The sequence below is a fragment of the Homo sapiens genome, chromosome X (assembly GCF_000001405.40).
Source record: "Homo sapiens chromosome X, GRCh38.p14 Primary Assembly".
NCBI classification, from domain to species: Eukaryota; Metazoa; Chordata; class Mammalia; order Primates; family Hominidae; genus Homo; species Homo sapiens.
Window position 1 is genome coordinate 148791040 of NC_000023.11, and position 19929 is coordinate 148810968.

The 19929-nt window shown below is 39.4% G+C and overlaps 1 protein-coding gene across 6 annotated transcripts in view; it reads left to right on the top strand.

Moving 5' to 3' along the window:
• AFF2 (ALF transcription elongation factor 2) overlaps positions 1 to 19929 on the top strand; it is a 500047-nt gene that overhangs the window by 290423 nt on the left and 189695 nt on the right. For all 6 annotated transcript variants that reach the window (NM_002025.4, NM_001169124.2, NM_001169123.2 and 3 more), the window contains one exon: positions 18837 to 18881. In NM_002025.4, the coding sequence (NP_002016.2) occupies positions 18837 to 18881 (45 nt within the window). The remainder of the gene's footprint in view (positions 1 to 18836; positions 18882 to 19929) is intronic.

Below are 19929 nucleotides of genomic sequence, written 5' to 3' on the forward strand. Positions count from 1 at the left end.
AATTCCCATAAGGAGGACCCATTTTACCATTAAATTGTCAATTGCAGGTCAATACATATTATTCTATGTATACTCTCACATAGACTTTCACATATGCAGAGAGAAACACTAAAGTTGCTATATTAGTCTGTTCTCATGCTGCTAATAAAGACATACCCCAAACTGGGTAATTTATAAAGGAAAGAGGTTTAATTGACTCACAGCACCACATGGCTGGAGAGGCCTCACAATCATGATGGAAGGTGAATGAGGAGCAAAGTCACATCTAACATGGTGGCAGGCAAGAGCATGTACAGGGGAACTCCCCGTTATAAAACCATCAGATCTCATGAGACTTATTCACTGCCATGGGAACAGCACAGAAAAGACCTGTCCCCCATGATTAAATTAACTCCCACCAGGTCCCTCCCATGACATGTGGGAATTATGGGAGCTACAATTCAAGAAGAAATGTGGGTGGGCACACAGCCAAACCATATCAGTTGCAAATTCAGAAATCCATAGCAGGTCAATTAATTGTTTTAAAACTTCCGCTCTTGAATTACTTGTCTTTATTCAACAGCCTCAAGATAATCTTAGCTTCTCATTTGATTTAATCTGTTATGCAAAAAATAGCACGAAGTCCTCTTATGGCTGTTTTAATCAGTTGCTTTTTGAGATTTTATAAAATAGCCAATTGAGCTCCACATTGTATTTTTTGTATGATTAATTTGAAGTGATTGTATTGGCCATAGTGGTTATGAATGCAAGGAAATAATAATCTTATCTTGCTTATGTTACTGAGCCGGGTGTATATAACTTTATGCTCATCAGAGCAATGGACAAATTGGGCTCATCGAACTGCAACTTACATTTTCATGATCATTCCATTGTATTATATTGGTACAACAAAGGAATTTTGCAAAATAAAAATAATGAAACATCTTATATTTCAGTAGTGGCTACTAGATTTATATATACATATAAATATAAATTCCTATTTGATAATATAGTTGGGAACCAGTTTTTTTGTACAGTGATTAAGAACATGGGTTTGAAGTCTTACAGACATGGTTTTGTTTCTTGGCTTTATCACATATTAACTGTGGAACCTTGGGAAAATTACTGAGCCTCTATGAACCTCACTTTCATCATCTACACCATGGCGACAATAATGCCTGTAGCTTAGAGTTGTCATGTAGAATAAGCAAGTTAAAGGATAGGCCTGGTACACCTAAATGCTCAAAAAGCATGTCCTATAAAAATAACCATTTATATACAAAAATTAGCCGGGCATGGTGGCACATGCCTGTAATCCCAGATATTCAGGAGGCTGAGGCAGGAGAATTGCTTGAACTCAGGAGGCGGAGATTGCAGTGAGCCGAGAGCGTGCCACTGCACTCCAGCCTGGGCGATAAGAGCGAGACTCCGTCTCCAAAAAATAAAAATAATATATAACCATTCTTATGACTGTTTTAACACAAAAGTGATAACAAAGGGCCTTGCTGACACAAGTTATTTTCATTTTTGTACCTTACCTTTAACTCAGTATACTATTAATCATTCAGTTGGGAAAATAGTTATGTAAAATGGCAGTGCTAAGAGGGTCTTTATATAGAATTCTGTGTGCCCTGGAGGCATTTGTGAAAAAGTGTTTTCTCTAGGATGGACTAAGCCTGAAGGTTACTGTTAGGCTATGATTTGGCTGATGGCATATACCACAATGCCTAATTAGGGAACCCCATTGAAAGCGATCATTTTCTCTTTGATGTGGCCTTTCCATTTAAAGGTTGAATATTAGGGTTACATGAATGAAACTAGACAAAAAAAGAAAGAAAGAAGACAGGAAATTTCCTACACTTTCAGAAACACAGCTCACAGACAACCTTAGGAAGGAGGCATGCCTGGGTCCTTTACAGGAGTGGGGCATTTGCAGCTGCTCTAATGTATATCTCCCCAGAAATTAATAAGTACTATTATTTTCTGCACTTAAATCATAACTTACAAAATAGGTTTATTCATCCAACTTTCTCTTCTCAATACTTCCAAATTGCTAGCATTATATTTTCTCATCTCCTTGTTTTGAACATGGCTATGACCTCCTACACACTAGCTAACCTCACCTCTACAGCTAAAGATTCTAAGGAGGAGCTGCAGCCCTTTGCCTAACATAACATACCTGGCACTAGGCAAAGCTGTATTCTGACTTCTGGATGGTCCAGTCTTTGGCAGGGTGGGTGGGGGAGGGCAGGGCCTACACTGCTGGGTAACTGGAGAGCAAGTGCATCAAAAAGGTGCCCACAGACTTTGCCTCCCTTTTATGTAACTTCTGTTCTTGCTTTCACACTGCTTTTTTGGACATCTTTTTGTCACAGCTTTAACAATTACCCCATCATCACAGTATTTAGAATTTTTTGAAGAGATACTATGTTTTCAGAAGATACTGTTTTCAGAAGTAAGGTGGGGCACAACTCCTCTCCTCTCCTCCACCCCTGCTGCTTCCCAAGAGAATACAGAAGAGACTTTGTAGGACTTCCAATAGAAGAAGCTCGATTAGAGCTTCTTGAGTTGCTGAATTAAATCGTAATCAATTCAATGGAACCAAATGGAATCATGAAGTAACAAATCCCCTGTCATGAGAGTCATGTCAGCAGTACTTGTATGATATGATGACAGGACTTGGATTGATCAGATGGTTTAAGGTTAATCCCATACCTTCCATTCACATGGTTATGTGACCTTGGGCAAATCATTTCACCTCTGTGCACTGTATTTGTCCTCATCTTTAAAATGGGACAGAAGGTAGAAGGCTGGAGTATATAATCCCCGGGGCCTTTTCTCTGTCAGGAGCCTGTATAGGAGATGAGAGTATCCACTCATTTCTGGACAAGCAACTCAAAAGTATTCCATTGAGAATGAACAAGCAACATTAGCTTTGCATGTGAATGATGGCACATTTATTATCAGATTTATTTCATGTATTACCTGTCCTTCCCCTCCCTGTCTTCCAACAGATTTAGTAGATCTCAGTCAGTTTTAATGCTTTCGGCCTCTGCTGCACCTGTAGTAACTGTCTGCCAGAGGCAGCCCTTTTTCAAAGTCCCTATCTTACTGTAAGTAAACCAGAATTTCTAAAGATGGAAGGGTTGCCCCTGCCAACTCTATTTCACTGTTTCTCTATTTCTTGAAAGGAGCAATGAAAGGGAGATGGTATCCCATGTTGAATAAGCAAGTGTCTGCCTTCATTCCAGCCTTGTCATGGCTCCAGTAAGCTCATTTCATCACAAATTTATGACTCCTAAAATCAATATTGACTGTGGATGTTGGGGGGAGGACAATTTTGAGGGCACATCTGAATTACCAGTGAACCCATAGGAATTCCCTTCAGTTGGGTGAAAAATGATCAAGAAACAAAAGCTAAAGGAGGAGTCAAGGAGTACAGCATCAAGGTGCTGAACTCATTGTTAAACCTGAGTCCTTAGTGCTTAGCAACTCTGAAGTCCTGGATGGAGGAAAGACTTGGTCTGTTTGTGATAACAGCAGGTGCTTTCCAAGGTACAGACTGTCTGAGTCATTGTAGAGGCAACATTCTCTCAAGATCTTCTTCACTTTCAAGTTTTCAACATGCCATTTTGCAGGTTCCTTTTTAGACTATCAGTATTTTGCCTTTGATGTTGATGGTCAGCTTGGAATTTGTAATAACATTATTTACCATATAACAGGGATAAATAATCTTTCATCTTGCAGAGGCAGGGGTGGGGGGTTCATGGCAGTTTATCAAATTGTCTCCTGGATTGCTATGGCTCTAGTGGGAACTACATGGATAAATCTATGTTAAACAACAGCAGCATGAAATAGTGGAAGAAACACTGGATTGTTTAGCCAAAAACCCAGGGGCTAGTCTCCACCACCTCTGACTAGCCATAAAACTTCAGACAAATCATGCAACCTTTTGAAGCCTCGCTTCTTTTTCATCTTAAAAAATGAAACTCATTTTATCTTATTTGTCTACTTCAGAAGATTGTTGTAAGCAACAAATGATACTGGGAGGGGGATAACAGATGGAGACGATGTGAAAGGACTTTGTAACCTGGCAAGGACTCTAAATTTCCAAGGAATGATTTCTATTAGCGATGGTCTTAGTAGCAGTAATTGAAGATATTCTTTATATCATCCTCATATATAAATTCCCTCATTCCCCTTTGTTTTCATATGCCACCAGGGTTCTGTTCTTAAAGTTTTGAATTAAGGGGTAAATATCTTCACTTTAAGGATTTAGGAGATGTCTCTCATGGGGTTAGATTATCATTTATAAAGAACTGAAACTGAGGATCTGGAAAATGCTAATTGTAAAGCTTATCATTACAGAGTAGATGTTAGATGCTGCCCTGAAACTTTGTAGCATCCTGATAAGGTATAATGCTTTCCTTTTCAGCATAGATTGCAAAATGAAGGGTAAAACATTTAGAAATTAATAAAGCATATTTATAAAAAATATACCTGGCCATGCTCAGTAGATCATGCTTGTAATCCCAGCACTTTGGGAGGCTAAGGCTGGCAGATCACGAGGTCAGGAGATCAAGACCATGCTGGCTAACACGGTGAAACCCTGACTCTACTAATAATACAAAAAAATTAGCCAGGTGTGGTGACATGCGCCTGTAGTCCCAGCTACTCGGGAGGTTGAGGCAGGAGAACCGCTTGAACCCAGGTGGTGGAGGTTGCAGTGAGCCGAGATCCCGCCATTGCACTCCAACCTGGGCGACAGAGTGAGACTGTCTCAAAAAAAAAAAAAAAAAAAAAAAAAAAAAAAAATATATATATATATATATATATATATATATATATATATATACACACCTAAGTGTCAGACTAGATAATTTCAAGATTAGTGTGATCATAATAAATTTTTATTTACCAAATACCCTCAGCCTAGAGCTTTTCAGGTAACCAATTAAATGCACACTAAGTATTACTAATTGCATTATTTAAATTGGTATACTATTTTAGGTTTAGAAGGTCCCTCTTCTTCATGATAATGCATTTTCATGAAGAAAGACCTTAAAGCTGATTCTAAGATCTTCAAATAACACATCATAGTGTAGTATATGTTGGTGAGTTTATTTATCTTGAGTTGGGAGCTTTTATAGATTCCAGCTATATGTCTTCACCACAAATCTTGTTGTTGTTGTTGTTTTTGTGCTGATGGCATGAGTGAGAATAAATGGAATTTGTGGAGTCTGTGAAGGCCACTGGAGGGAAATTTCCCAATCTCCTAATATATCAGTGTCTCTTCCTGTCTGTTTCTGATGGGGTCCTACAGCAGGTCAACATCCTTAGGTAAAGAAAAGCTTCCTAAGAGTTAGCAGCAGTCATTGAAAGTAAATTAATGAAACCCTGCATCTGCTGATCTATTTGACAAGAAGAAATTCTGGCTGCCAACAGTTAGAAACCACTAGAAATAATCTCCATTGGAAACCGGGCTTCGACTTTCTGCCCTGGGCTGCCCAAAGTATTGCATTAGACAATGCGAAAGTAAGTTGAACTTTGAATTATAATTTCAATGACTGTCTAGCGAAATGGATTCATGCTCTGACACTGCACCTTTGAGGCTGTGGGTTGGTTCACATAAGATAAAAATCTGTCTGGCCTGACAGTTGAAAAGGTCGCAAGAACGCTTGATGTCTGATGGTCTCAGTGTATTGCCAAATCTTGATTAAAATGGAAGACTTAGGAACAATTATGTTTTTTTCTTTCAAAATAATCTTTTCAAACAGAGCCATTTCTACATGTTTTGGCTTGAAATTTATTGACTTAGCAAAGTATCGATTATATTTTCACTACCATTTAGCAATAACCTCATACTTAACATGAAGCTCTCACATAGTTGAGATACTTTGGCCTTGGGGCAACAGGTTATTTTTGAAAATGACATCTAATTGTCATTGTAGTATGTTTGGTATTAAAAATTGAACTATCTACATTTTAATGCTTCCACTTTAGCTCTAAAGCACGTTGCCTGTCGTCTGTTTTCGTTATGAAAATACTTGCAGGAATGGCTTAACATTTTTACTTCTGTAGATCATGCAGGCTCTGTACCTGTGAAATGTGTAGCTTTTAATTTTAGATTAGAGACTTCTACTAGCTAGAGATTAACACAAGTTGAATCTTTCAAATTAATCTGCTTTTGGGCCACAGATTGACAGACTTAACAGACACGAGTCACCTTAAAGACTGGATTCTAAGCCAACCCGCTTGTTTTACATCTGGGAAAACTGTGACTTGCCCAAAGTCATACAGTTTGTCACTGAACCAATAGAGTTTCTTCAAGACAGTCAGTTCAAGTATATTAAACAGTATCTCATGAAGTGCTAAAGGAATCCTGAGGGCAGGGACAAAGTGTTACATATAGATGTCCACCATACTCAGAGGAACTCTGTTCAGATTAATCTACCACATTTTCTGTTCTTAGCCAATTACATTTCACTATGCCAAAAATAAAGTACTTTCAGGAAACTACTTTCTGTCTTTTCCAAATGCCAAAGTCACTCTCTATCTGAATTTTTTCTCTTATTCAAAGTTAAGGTCCTGTCTTACTTCCTTGCTTGACCACCAGATCCATGGACAGTTTTTCCTTTCGTGACTTTCTATTAAAGTTATTGTCAGAGCCATGAATCTGGCTTTTTAAAATATGATCACCACATAAACTGGATTTCCAGGATAGCCCTGATTTCAATTCATTCTCCCCATAAATTGGTATTCTAGAAATTCCCATATTTGGCCATGTAAATCACGTCATGCAAGCTGACTTTGGTACCCACTGAAAGAAAATTTTTTTTCTGCCAATGTGCCTCATTTAGGGATCAAAAAAAGATATCTGCTAACATGCACTGTAATTCCTCACTTTAGATATGCAGGTCTTGTCTACTCGTCTATAGTATACCCTCCCTGTCTTAGTCTGTCTTGTGCTTCTATAACAGAATACCTGAGACTGGGTAATTTATAATGAACAGAAATTTATTGGCTCACAGTTTTAGAAATTGAGAAGTCCAATATCAAGATGTCAGCATCTGGCACAGGCCTTCTTTCTGCATTATAACATGGTAGAAGGCATCACATGGAAGAAGTTGGAGGTTGGGGAGAGAGAGAGAGAGAGTGAGAGAGACAGAGAGAGAAGCAGAAACAAAAGAGTGCCAAACTTGTCATTTTATCAGGAACCCACTCCCATGATAATGACATTAATTTATTCATGAGGGCAGAGCCCCCATAGCCTAATCAACCCTAAGGGCCCCACCTCTGAATACTGTTACAGTGGCAATTAAATTTCAACATGACGTTTTGAAAGGACAAACATTCAAGCCATAGCACTCCCTGTGGACAGCCATTGTTTATCATGTACTGCATTTTACCTAATGCTTAGCTTAGTGCACTGTGCATACTGAGGGTGCAATGCATATTTGTCATTTGGGATTATTTCCTTTACATGAACAGATTTTCCAAACGCCAAATTTAGAAGTACTGCAACACATTAATTCTGGTCAAGAGTAGGTCTGGTTAGTTCATTAAGAGTTTATTTTATCAGTAATGTGTTGTGCTTGTACCTGAAATTATAAATGCCTGCCAGGTATCTGTTTATCCTACATACTTCCACAACTCAGAAATAATCAATACCTTGTTTTCTTGTGGATGCGAGAAAAGTTAGGATCACTGATGCTGGGTATATGCTGTCCACGTTAATTGGCATAGACCGTTAGGCTTCATAAACCATGGTACACCATGTATCACTCCTTCTTTGATCTTCAGCATAAAATTCAATGGGCTTGAGATGCTCCACAGAGCTGGCCCACATTTAATGTCACAGACCCTTTATGACACACACTATGTCTATTTCAGGGGTCAGTTTTTGCAGAGTGATTTTCTGGAAAAGTGCCATGCCCTTCCATGAGCCAAGAATTTCAGTGTCTCATAAATGGTGGACAGACAGGACCTTGGGGCCATCTCTCCAGCTAACAGAAGATACTAAGTAAGGCCCAGGGGAAGTTTAAGAAACAAACTTCTTGTGTTTGTTCTATTGATTTTCTTGCCAACAAGAAGTGTAACAAATTGTGATGTTTCCAAATAAAAAGCATCAGGAATAAGCTCCAATTTTATTGAGTGATTTCCTGGACACACATGCAGGTGCATTTTGGAAGAGGCTGGATATAGTCAGACACAGGTAACAAAGCCAGGTCACTTAACAAAGCAGGAAAGATAAGGGCCACGGTTGCAAATCATTATTTATAATCAAACAAAATGGTAATTTTGCCAACACTCCCTTCTCAAATATAAGACCATCATCATGGTAATCAAACTATTACTCTGACACAGTTTACTTATCAGGAGAACAATCTGAGATTGATGACCTGAAAATGGAGGTTGTCTTTCAATTCATTTGAAATGCAAACCGAGTGGACAACCTATACCTACTGTGGCATATTTTTAAAGCAAAATCAGGCACCTACATTGACCTCCTATTTACATTTCTTTGAGAAGAAAAGAAAATCACATAAAAGCTATCAAGAAACACATTTCACAGCAGGCAAATTAATTGGTTTTACAGTATTTGAATGGAGGGTTTGTCAAATAAAACATGCCATGACAGTTAATAGTGTCATTTAGAGCCAGAAAATTATTGGCTTATTTGTTATTGGATAAAAGGAAGGCAAACATTTTGTATTAGAAAGTTTTAATGTGTTTAAAATCCTCATTAGGGATTAATGGACATGCTTGCTTAGCATAGCGCCTCATTAATTTGAGGCTAAACAGTTACTTCTGTGTTTCAATCTCAGTGTTGTTTCTTAACATTTTTTTTTTACTTCTCTTTAATTAGATCTTGCATTTGAGTTTGGTCTCTACACCATTGGAGATGTAGATTTAATTAATGAGATTTATAAATCTAATGAAAGTGAGTTATTCTTAGCTATCGTTTCATTTTAGTGAGCAGTTAAACCACATGTAAGTGGGCGCAGATCTAAGAGATTTCAGAAGTACAGAAAAAATGTGAACTTCCCTGAATATATTTAGCTGTGTCACTTGGCATTAATAGATAAAAGTGTTTTAATTAGAGTCATAAATAATAGGGGAGCTGGCGAGGATTCAGTTCCCATGCACATGGCTTGTTCTTTAGGATCATCACTGTCAAAGAAGAGCAATTGTAACTCTGTTTCTGTGGAATTTCAGTGTCATCCACTGGCAATTAAGACAATCCTAAGTGCGGAGTATAGAGAGTCAATAAGGCGCCAAGTTCGTTAGAGGTTAGTACAAAAGTAGAGCCACTTTCTATCAAGTGTATTCTGTTGTCACTGTTTTATTGAGGGCATCTGTGGGTACGATTTATAAAGTCTATTCCATTTACATTGCTTTAAGAGGAATTTAGTTAAAGGAAAAACTGATATCTGAGTTTTTGGTTTTCAAAAAGACGTTTAAATCATTAGTTATTTATTTGTAAGAAGACCATTGTAGTTTCTTTAGGGCGAGGGATTGTGAATGTCAAGGTAAGTCCTTTTTTTTCTAAAAGATTTTCAAAAAATAAGAGCCAAAGGTACATATTTAAAAGCTTCTTTTTTAAACGGGGTTATGGAACTTAATTTAAGACCCCATAATATACCTGTGGCAATGCCTTCAGAAATTACCAGAAAAAACTGAACTCCCACTTTTTTTTTCCCATGAGGAAGTCCTTGTATCTTAGACACTGTAAATGATTTGAAGAACTTGTCAGTCCAAGACACATAAAAGATAATCGTATTTTAAAATACTACATGATAGCAATCACATATTAAATGTGTAAAATGCTTGCTTGAATACAAAATATTTCAATGATTAAAAATAGCTCTTCTTTAAACAATTCAGAAACTCCGTCTAATGTTCTAAAGGAATGATTTCTCTCAGGAGGATATGAGTTAATCGAGTTCTCTGTGCTCCCAAAGAGACAGAGTAGCATTCAGTTAGGCCCAGGGGAGATCCTCAAGCCTTGGGGCTTAAATTTGGCCCTGGGCTTAATTTCATCTGGCCTTCTGGATAATATTACAGGAGTCACTACGGTGGAGTCCTGGTCATTAGTCCTACTCCTGCGCTTTCTGCTTATTGCAGTCAGAATGAAGCCTCTTCTAGATTAGAGCATTTGGAGAACTGTGAACTATGGTTAATTAATCAGTGTTGGAAAAAGCAGAAGCTAACAGTGAGGAGCAGTGTCACCTTCTTCCAAATCATCAGAGCTACTTGGCCTCCAACTCCCTTCTTTCTCCCCGCCTCCTTATCCCTTCTATTATACTTCCCTAGCAAGTCTATGATCCATGTTTCTGTTTTCGAAGACAACTATTCCAACCTTTCTTTTCTCTTCCAATTTCCAGTAACCACACCCCACTCTCAGCTGATGATCTTGCCGCATACTTCATAGAGAAAAATAAGATACAATCAGACAAGTACCATGTCATCTTCTCATCTTTAATTTCTCCAACCCAGCTGCTTATGTACCTAGGCACTCTGCCTTCCCTCCTGTTACAATGGAAGAAGTGTACAGAAGTGTCCATGTTCCTATTTCAGGCCAACCTCTTCAGTTGTGTCTTGATCGACTCCCTCCTTATCAAGGACTTTGCTTTTACAATCATCCAGTTTCTCTTTTGCCACACTTTTTCCCTCTTCACTGAGTTCTACGCATCAAGTATATAAATATATCTTAATATCATCCCTCTTATAAAAACAAAACCAAACAAAAACCTTGACTCCACATCACCACTTTATATTATTTCATTTCTCCACCTCCTTTCACAGTAGGAATTGTTTATTCACTCTCTCCACCTCTGCCCCTTCCACTCTCTCCTCAATACACAATCAGGTTTACATCCCCACCATGCTGCTGAAACAGCTATGATCGAGGATACAAATCACCTAGATATTGCTAAAGCCAATGGCCTATTCTGCAGCCTCATCCTTATTTAATGACCAGTTTTTCCTGGAAGCACTTTTTCTTCTAGGCTATTGTGACCCCATGCTTGCTTCCATACACACTTTAAGAATTCATTTTTGGCTTTGGAATACATGACATGTCATAGATAATATGCTATGCTATGCGGAGTGTGGCCTCCTGGCAAAAGGACTACTACATATAGCAAAATACATAAAATAGGAAAGAATAAAGCAGAGTGTTAATAAAATCGTAGAATCCAAAAGATGTGTGAAAGATCGCATAACCCGGTGACCAGCCCAAAGTGAAAGTGTTGTTATTCTGTGGCAACATAAGAAAAGTAAGATAATGATGTGTGTGTGTGTGTGCCAGTATGTTTGATGTTAGCATAAATTTAACTGTTCTGTATTTTGAACAAACTGGCCTTTATTCTGAGATTATGCCTTATTAACCTTTTGGATGTTATAATGTTCTTTTACAAAATAATAGTGCCAATGGTGGATTTTGTTTTGTAATGCCCTTATTGATAAAAGAAAAAGTTAGTAATCTTATACATATCCCTCATTATTTTTGTACTGTTATGTGAAATACAAAACACTGGGTACTCGGAATATATTCTCATGCCTTCACTGTATAGGCTGTTTAGGCTGCAGGCTGGCGAGTGAAGAAGTGAATTGTCCCAAATTACACAGCTAATTAGTGGTGGAGCTTGGACACATAACTACTGTTTCCTGTCAGGTTTTTTCGCTACTTTATAAGATTTGTTACCTGAAAGTGAGATCACTGCTTTGTAATTGTTTACTTTCTCTATATTATGAGAGTGTGCTATGATCTTTGAAGAGGTCAAGAGCATACTACAACTTTAAAAACTCTAACATTTACTCTTTAATTGACAGAATTCAAAGGTGAACTTGCCTCCTGATATATCTTTTTTATATATTTAGATAATGTATTAGTTCAATCTAGTTTGTACATCTCTAGTTTTGCAGTCTTCTCTTTTATTATGAGAGATTATTATGCACCTGCACACAAGACAGTCATTACCATTAATGGCAGTACACTAAGTAGGGATTAAGTGGAATCTAGATTTTGATCCTAAATGGTCTTTGGTTGCAGTACTAGGACTTTGGGACAGAAGTGGGTATCCTGTAGGCCCTGAGGAGTTGGCTGCTTACCTAGGAATTTCAAAAGGAAAGGACCAGGGCCAGAAGATCTGAGGATTGTAGGGCAGGCACCAAAAGAAGAAAGAAGGTCAGGAAGAGCATAGGCAAGAGAGGGCAAGCAAGTGGGGTCAGAGTCACGGAGGCTGGCAAAGAGAAGTAGGAGACAGCTTGAGTCTGATCCCAGAATGATGGAATCATAGCAAGAAGCCTAGAGACTCTAAGTTGGAGATCTGTCCCTGTGGAACCGGGCTGGAAGACCCTACTCAGCTGGGGTATGAGTCTGGGTAGCTGCAGCAACAGTAACCAGAATGGCCTCACTGACTAGCCCAGGGGACTTGAGACAGGGCATCCTTGAGGGAATGTGAGCCAGGCAGCAAGGTGCTTCCAGATAGGTTCTTGATTTCTAACAGTAATATTTCTAGATGTTTACCTTGTTTTTGTCGAAGACTGTAATATACCCTCATTCCCCCCATCTCCTTTTATAGCTCACTTTTCTATCGAAACTAGTTATTAGACCAAATAAATGAACAGTGAGTTAATGGCTATTCAGAGCCCACTGAATTAAGTACTCTTCACTTGAAATTCCATCTGCCATTAGGTACTCTCAGCTGATGATGGGCCTTTCTGCATATGCATTCCACCGTTGCCCATACCTAATGTAATCACTGAAGAGATGTCCTCATAATGAAGCATGTCACCCACCCCTCCTCCACCCTTCTCATTCCCACTCTCCCTTATCTCTGTTGTCATATCCACTTAAGTCCCATCTCCAGCCTCCTTTTTCACCTTTAATGAGAGCCAGCAGATGGAAAAGCAGCCTGAGACTCTTTACACACTGGGACCCTGAATAGGATTCAGTAATTAGCAACATTCATAAGATGTCATGGGAGCCAGTTTACAAGGCAACCAAACTATCTCCTCAGTGGTTCCAAGGCTCAGAGTGCTGACACCCTTCTAAGGACTTTTGAGAGAACTTAGCATACAAAGTGCTGATGGAGACTTAACATGCACCCCCTACTAGGCTAAGGTACTTTTATAAACCTCACTTCATTTCAACATCACAAAAATCCTAGAAGTGGATTTTTAAAACTTTTTCTTACATAGGTAGGGATACAGAGGCTCAAACAAGTTCGAGTGGCTTGCCCAAGGTCATAAAGCAAGTTGAACTTCAGAAATAGGATTGAAATCCAGTTCTATGGAGCCTCAAAGACCAGGCTCTTTCCACTGCCCCTTGGAGCCCCCAGAAAACACAGTAAATTATCTCATTCATTTGCTCAAAGAAATAAAAGTTCATGGTTACCTTTTAGTTTTATGTTCATGTATGATTCCAAACAAAGGGTCATTTCCTGTATTTGGCTTAAAAAGACATGTGTTAAATTATTTTGATCTTCATGCTCTACTTTTTGTTCTTTTTGTACTTTTCTGGTGCATATTACCTTGTTTTACATGAAGTATTTTGACCAGGAGACTTACTTAAAAACTGGCCAGAAGCAGTATTTTAAAGTAAACACCAGCTCTTTGGATGCCCAGGATTTTTGCTGTATTGAAATGAAATTGGAAGATGAGCTGGTTAGCTGGACCATGTAACTGTTGTGAAATCGTTTTTGTTTTGATTAAAGTTATATTACCCGAGGACTTCTGTCTACAGCTTATGCAATATTAACTGTTCCCGTTTAATCATAGACTCATGAATACAAACTAGAATAGGGACGGTTAAGGTGAGGCAGGAAGCAAGGGACAGACAGATCCTAATGTGAACTGAGTTTGTAGTTTTCCAAATTCATTTTGGAAAACTGGGACTCCCTGGATAGAGACATAGGGGATTTCATAATGCATGCAAATAAGAACTTCAGAGGCTGCTGTCCTCTGTTTTTACAAATTACCAACGATGGGAATTACAAATTTTAAAAAGATTGAAAACTCATTTGGTAGTACAGTATCATAACCTGAGTTTTTATTTTATTAGTAATTCTGCATCAGGGGACTTCTGTGTACCATAAATCAATCATGGGGATAAATGGGGAAGTTTGTTAATGAAAGTACAAACGGAATTAGTTTGGAAGCCGCCATCAGTGTCTGTTGTGGATATTGGTTAACTGGGCCCAGTTATTTAATTTGCAATTAAACTTTTGATTTTTAAGTTTTACTTTGAGAAAGTGTTTGTCAAGGTGGAATATGCCTAGACTAGTGGACTATGATTGCCAGCTTTGTGGGACCGCCCTCAGGATGATTTTATGGGAAAAAATGACCTGTCTTCTCTCACAATCCCTTGGTAATAATATACTCAGAGGCATGCATTGAGCTCCTCTGGATTAACCATGTGTTGATCATTATTCTATTAATGTTTTACGTTAATCTCCATGTTTTCTATTAGTGATGGCTGCTGCTTATGTCTCTCAATGCCACTATCAGGGTGTTTTTGATATCTTGTATTACCCTAATCGCTAAGAAGTATGCTCCAAACTGATTAATTCCAGAATGATTAAAACATCCTATGCAATTCATTTATTGTTGCTGCAGTTAATTGAATATTTGATGATTTAAAGGTACCCTGATTATTTCATAAGATATGTATTTATCACCAGGCAGATAATTTGTGTGTGGTCTCTCTGTGGCTACATGGGGTGGCAGCCTGCACTGTCAGATGCAGAGAGGGTAGGCACTTGTGAGGGTTCTCAGTAAACTCACCACCTGCCTGATGTGCACCTCCCTTCCCTGGCCCTCAGAGGACCACATCCGTGCCCAGCACAAGAGGGTCGTCTGGGGCCAGGAGTGAGAGCACAGCCTCCCCTGTGTGTCGTGCAGCTTGCTTTCTGCTCCAGGAGGAGGGGGCGGAGAGGGGGAATGAGAAAGGACGCTGCAGCTCTGAGTGGCTAACTTGCGCTTTGTGGACTATCTGAATACTCAAGAGTGGATTTAAAGAGAGGAGAAGGTGCCTCGGGAATTAAGCAGCAGCTTGGCAACTCAACGGGCAGCAGTTCTAATCCCAGTGCCACCACTAGCTCTCTTTCTCAGTCTCTGTCTTTCACACCTGTCCGAGTAACTCCTCCAGAATTACTGCGAAGACGTGTGGGTGTGTGTGAGAGAGAAAGAGAAAGAGAGTGCAAGAGAATAGCATTTGGGGCCGAGCCCCAGCCTTAGCTCAGCTTTCTTCCAGTGTGCAGAGTGACCCTGGTGCATCTCCGCAGGGGGCTCAGTGACTGAAGTGGCCTCAGGTGGCCCCATCACTTCTCAGCCATGTCGAATCCTTGGCCTCTCACTCCCATATGGAGCGAGGACTACGGTGGGGACCTCAACGGCTGGGAGCTTCTGTCTGACATGGCAGTGTCGGTGAACCCGGTAGGTACCCTTTCCCTGGCACTTAAATCAGACCTCCTGTTTGGTCTTGTCTGTTTCCCCGTAAATGTTGTCTCCTCAATTTGCATGGAGTCTTGAAGGCAGAAATGATGCTGCCTCCAGTGTCTTTAAATCCTCCCTCTTGGCACCATCCTGAGCACAGTGTGAGCTCAATCAGGATTTGTTGTCTAAAGAAATAAATGGGAGAGCTGATGAATAGGCGGACAGGCGAATGAATGCGATCCTATTACCCTTGTCATGACTACCTTACAATGTATGTCCCAGTGGGTTTCTAATTGTTTGTTTTCCTATCCCATCTAGACATTTAACTCTGAGAGAAAGAACCTGAGACTCCGAGTGATTTGTATTACCAACTCTCCATGCTTTGCACTGTGCTAGGCACGTAGGAAATATTTGCTGGTTAATTAAAAAGCACTTGCAGGAAGGAAAAGCACTTGCGGTTCAAATGTGGTTGTCTTACGGAGAAAACAGCAGTGGGCCCGGGCTAGATGAATTTGCGGAACTAGTAACTTCATGAGAATGCTGGATTTTAGTGTTTTCTAAAGAAAAATATCTAATCACTGAGTGTGAATGCATATTTATTTGACTGCTCTTGCCTTTAGAGTTCTCTGTCTGTCCTGAGTGCTGCCGACTCCAATAGTCAGTCATTATTAGATGTGCTGCAAAGCTCCAGAGTCCACAACTCTTTCTCTTCTGACAGTATTTCCTCCCATAAAGAAGTGGATATTTATATTTCAAAGAGTAGAGATGATATTTTCAGTTGGCAAGAGTGAGTCAAATCTTAGTTTGAAAAGACGAGAAGACAGGACTTAAGAAAAGTAAGGAGAACAACAGGACAAGGGGTAATAACTTAATTCATTGTATTGGGCTTTGCGGATTACAAAGCACATTCACATCACTTATTTCACAGGATGCTCACAGAAACCCTGTGAGATTTAAAAAGGATGGGTATTACTATTATTCTTTCCTTTTCTTTTACATTTGGAAAAACTAGAACTCAGAAAGGTACAGTTATTAAGTCCTGTTCCCAAGTGGTAGGGCCAGGACTCCTTCCCAACCCTTTTGACTCATCAGCAGGTGCTCTTGCTGTGTCTGCATATCAGTGATATATTTTCACTGTGATTTAAAAATTAACACTGATGTGTTTGCGTGGGAAAAGGCGAACAAAGACCTTTTCATGAGACTGGGCCATACATTTTTAGCCTAGGCTGCCCACTCTAATACAATACAACAATGATATTGAAGATTTAAGCCTTTCTTATAATCCTTTGACCTTTGTATTTGGGGAATGTATTTGTTAGAAGTTCAAGAACTCTCTTGGAAAATACAGTTGCTGCAGCACTGAACAATGGAGTGGGATTGTATTTGCAGTTGAGAATTACCAGTTTAGTTGTATAATCATATAAACATGTTAGACCAGCATCTTCCAGTATATATTCTGCAAACATTCATTGTGTGGAATAACAGTAGTTATTAATTGGAAAATAAAACAAGCAAACAAACAATCAAACAACTAAAACTAAAAACCCAAGACTGAAGCCAAGGAAGTTGGGAATGTACTTTATTAAAAATTTTAGACAGGTGTCTCACAGCTTTTTATTTGCATCATGGATCTCCAAAGGGGGATACAATATGGGTTGCAGCATTTCCCATACTTCTTTGAACACAGAACCTTCCATTTTGCATAACTAGTGTCCATGGGATGGTCACCTTTTTGTACTTCCCCAGAGCTTATAGTTGTGCATTAACTATGTGATTCTTCATATTCACCTTCCTATTGAGCCTGTAAACTCCATGAGTGAGGAAACTGTGTCTCCTCTTGCTTCCCATTGTATCTCTGCCTAGCACCAAGTGGCACAGCCTTTGGCTCTCCAAAATTATTTGTTGAATGAATGAATGAATTGTGCTACACCAAATCACCAGTGGTTCTCTATATGAAACCTGTATTTTAGATTCTTTACAAGGTATGCCCAGCCAACTTAAGTCTTTTCTTCTACTGTTTCTTCTACCTAGTATTAGAGTATTATTGTTATCGGAAGGATGACTGTATAAATTTGTCATCCAAACTGGAGGACATTTTTGAGAGGGAAAGGGAATACTATCAATAATTACACAGATAAGAAGTGTAACCTGGGGCTATACTGGGCCATCTAGAATTGATAGCCCTTCATTATTGGTGACTGTCTCAGGCTGTCTCCCCTATTTGGGATTTTGGGCCTCTTGGAGCAGGGACTTTTCCATGTAGAAGGTCTTCAATAAATACTGGTTGTAATTAATGCATGTACAGAAGTGACCATAATGCTGTTTGAAGATTTGCTGTATTGTTTAACTTGTAGTTTTTACAGGTGAGGAAATCTAGTGCCGTATTCTGTTCTTCATTTACCCAAGTATAGTTGAGTCCATACTTAAGTCTGTTGGGGAGTTAATAATCGTCCTTGCAAGAGGCCTGGGCAATGTCGATGTAACGGCAGTGCTCTCTTAACAGGATTGGGCTTTCATCTTTCAAGGCAGTGAATGAGAGACCCACTGTTCTTACCAGAGCAGGCAGGAAGCAGATGTGATCGGATTGCAATCCTGGAGAGGGTGAAGGTGTGAAGGGGAGTTAGGAATGTTTGGGGGATGCCTAAAACCTGCACAGATAATGTAGTGATCAGCAGAGATTTTTCTAGATGGTTGCCTGACTCTCAAGTTCCTGATCATGCACTGTCTTACAGCTGGTTGCTTATTTTGTTATCTCGCTTCTTGCTTTCACTGACTATAAAGCACCTGCAGGAAAGGGCTATGGGCCTGACATGGAGTAAACCCTCAGTACATTTCTGCTAGTGACTTGAATCTTGATTCATTAGGAAGGTGTCACACTGGGAAAAATGCATCATGGGATTCACTGAGTATACTTCTGAGACTTTTTCTAACTGCCAAGGCAAGCATGCAATTTACACAGGCCGTTATCCTTAGTGTTTTGTAGGTGCCTAGTTGGACTCCCAAGTTCAAAAAGAACTCAATTTAATCACAAAAGTGTTTCGTATAGGCCTTATATTTTTAATGAATAATATACAAAAGTATGTCAGAGGGTCAAAGATGCCTTAAAGATCACGAGATCAAGCTCTCTTTGGATAGATGAGCAAAGAGAAGCCCCAGGGGATGGGGGATGGGTCAGTGCCTGAAAGCAAATCAGTGACAGAACAAGGAGTCACTTTATTTCTGCACCATGCACTGCGATCTTACCGCTTCATTAAAGTAAAACAAAATTAGTCATTTGCAGATATTCTTTTGTATTTAATAGGAAAAAAATGATAGCTAGATTTTCTTGCTTTACAGTTTGTCCTACAGAGTAAACTATTATACAAGAAGAAGAAGTAGATTGTGCCTAATGTTTTCTGTTTATTTTGTTTCAGGTAAGCCTTCCCAGTGATCCAAGCTGTGTTGAAGAAATCTTGCGGGTGAGTTTAAACCTTTATTTTTGTGCCTTTTAATAATGAAGCAATCTATCTGCTTAAGCTGTTTAAAGTAATTACTGTTCTGTTTCAAGGAGTTTCATGATGGGGAATCCTGATATTCTACTTCAAGACCCTTCTGCTTATTCCAGTGGCCTCATTTCTTGCCTGTCTTCTTTCCATTTTGTAATCAAGCTAGTCTTCTAATATCACTAAGCTTCTGCCCTATCCATTCCTACATCCTTCTCAGACAGAGACTTACCACCTTCTTTAGGAAACGTTCCCTGTTCAAGCACCATACCCTAAACCTTTGCCTTTTACCTTTCTGGGATCTCAGCTCAATCTCACTGCTGCCGCCCACTATGTGGAACATGGTTACCGAGATTGATTGTGGCCTATAATAAGGGGAAGAGATGTGGGAATGGGAGAGGAGGAGAAGATGAGAGACTTGAAAATGATGGCATGTTGTGGAAAGTGTTACTTATGGAAGTGAGTGTATGTGTGTGAATGCCTTGAGGGCAGAACAAAGTTGAAAGAATGGCTATAATCTCTTCTGAAGTAAACAATCAAACCAAAAGAAGAAACCAAAGTTAAGCAAGAAAAACATATCTGTCTGCTCTCTCTGGCCATTGGCATCATAAGGCAGTATGGAATCTCAAGAATAGGAGTCATGGTAATGAGCTCCTGAGCTCCTGTCCTGGCTCTACCATTTGTCACTTCTGTGACCTTGGACAGATGACTTTATCTCTCTGAATCTCCTTTCCTCGTCTGTAAAAGAGGACAATAATACCTGCCCTAACTCCCTTATAGGCTACCAAGTGGTATATAAATGCTGGCTATTGTGATAAATGATGACCAGTGTAGTCATGTAAAAACCATGAAGGCTTTCTATCTGGGAAAGAAAATAATCTATGTGCCAGTGAAAATTTGGCACCCCCTTTCCTCAGTTACCAAAGTCACTCCAACTCCCTCCTGATCCCCCTCTCCCAGTAAGTGCCTTCTCAGCAGCCCAGTGTTTGAAGCAAGCCCTGAGCAAATGCAGCCAAAGGAATAG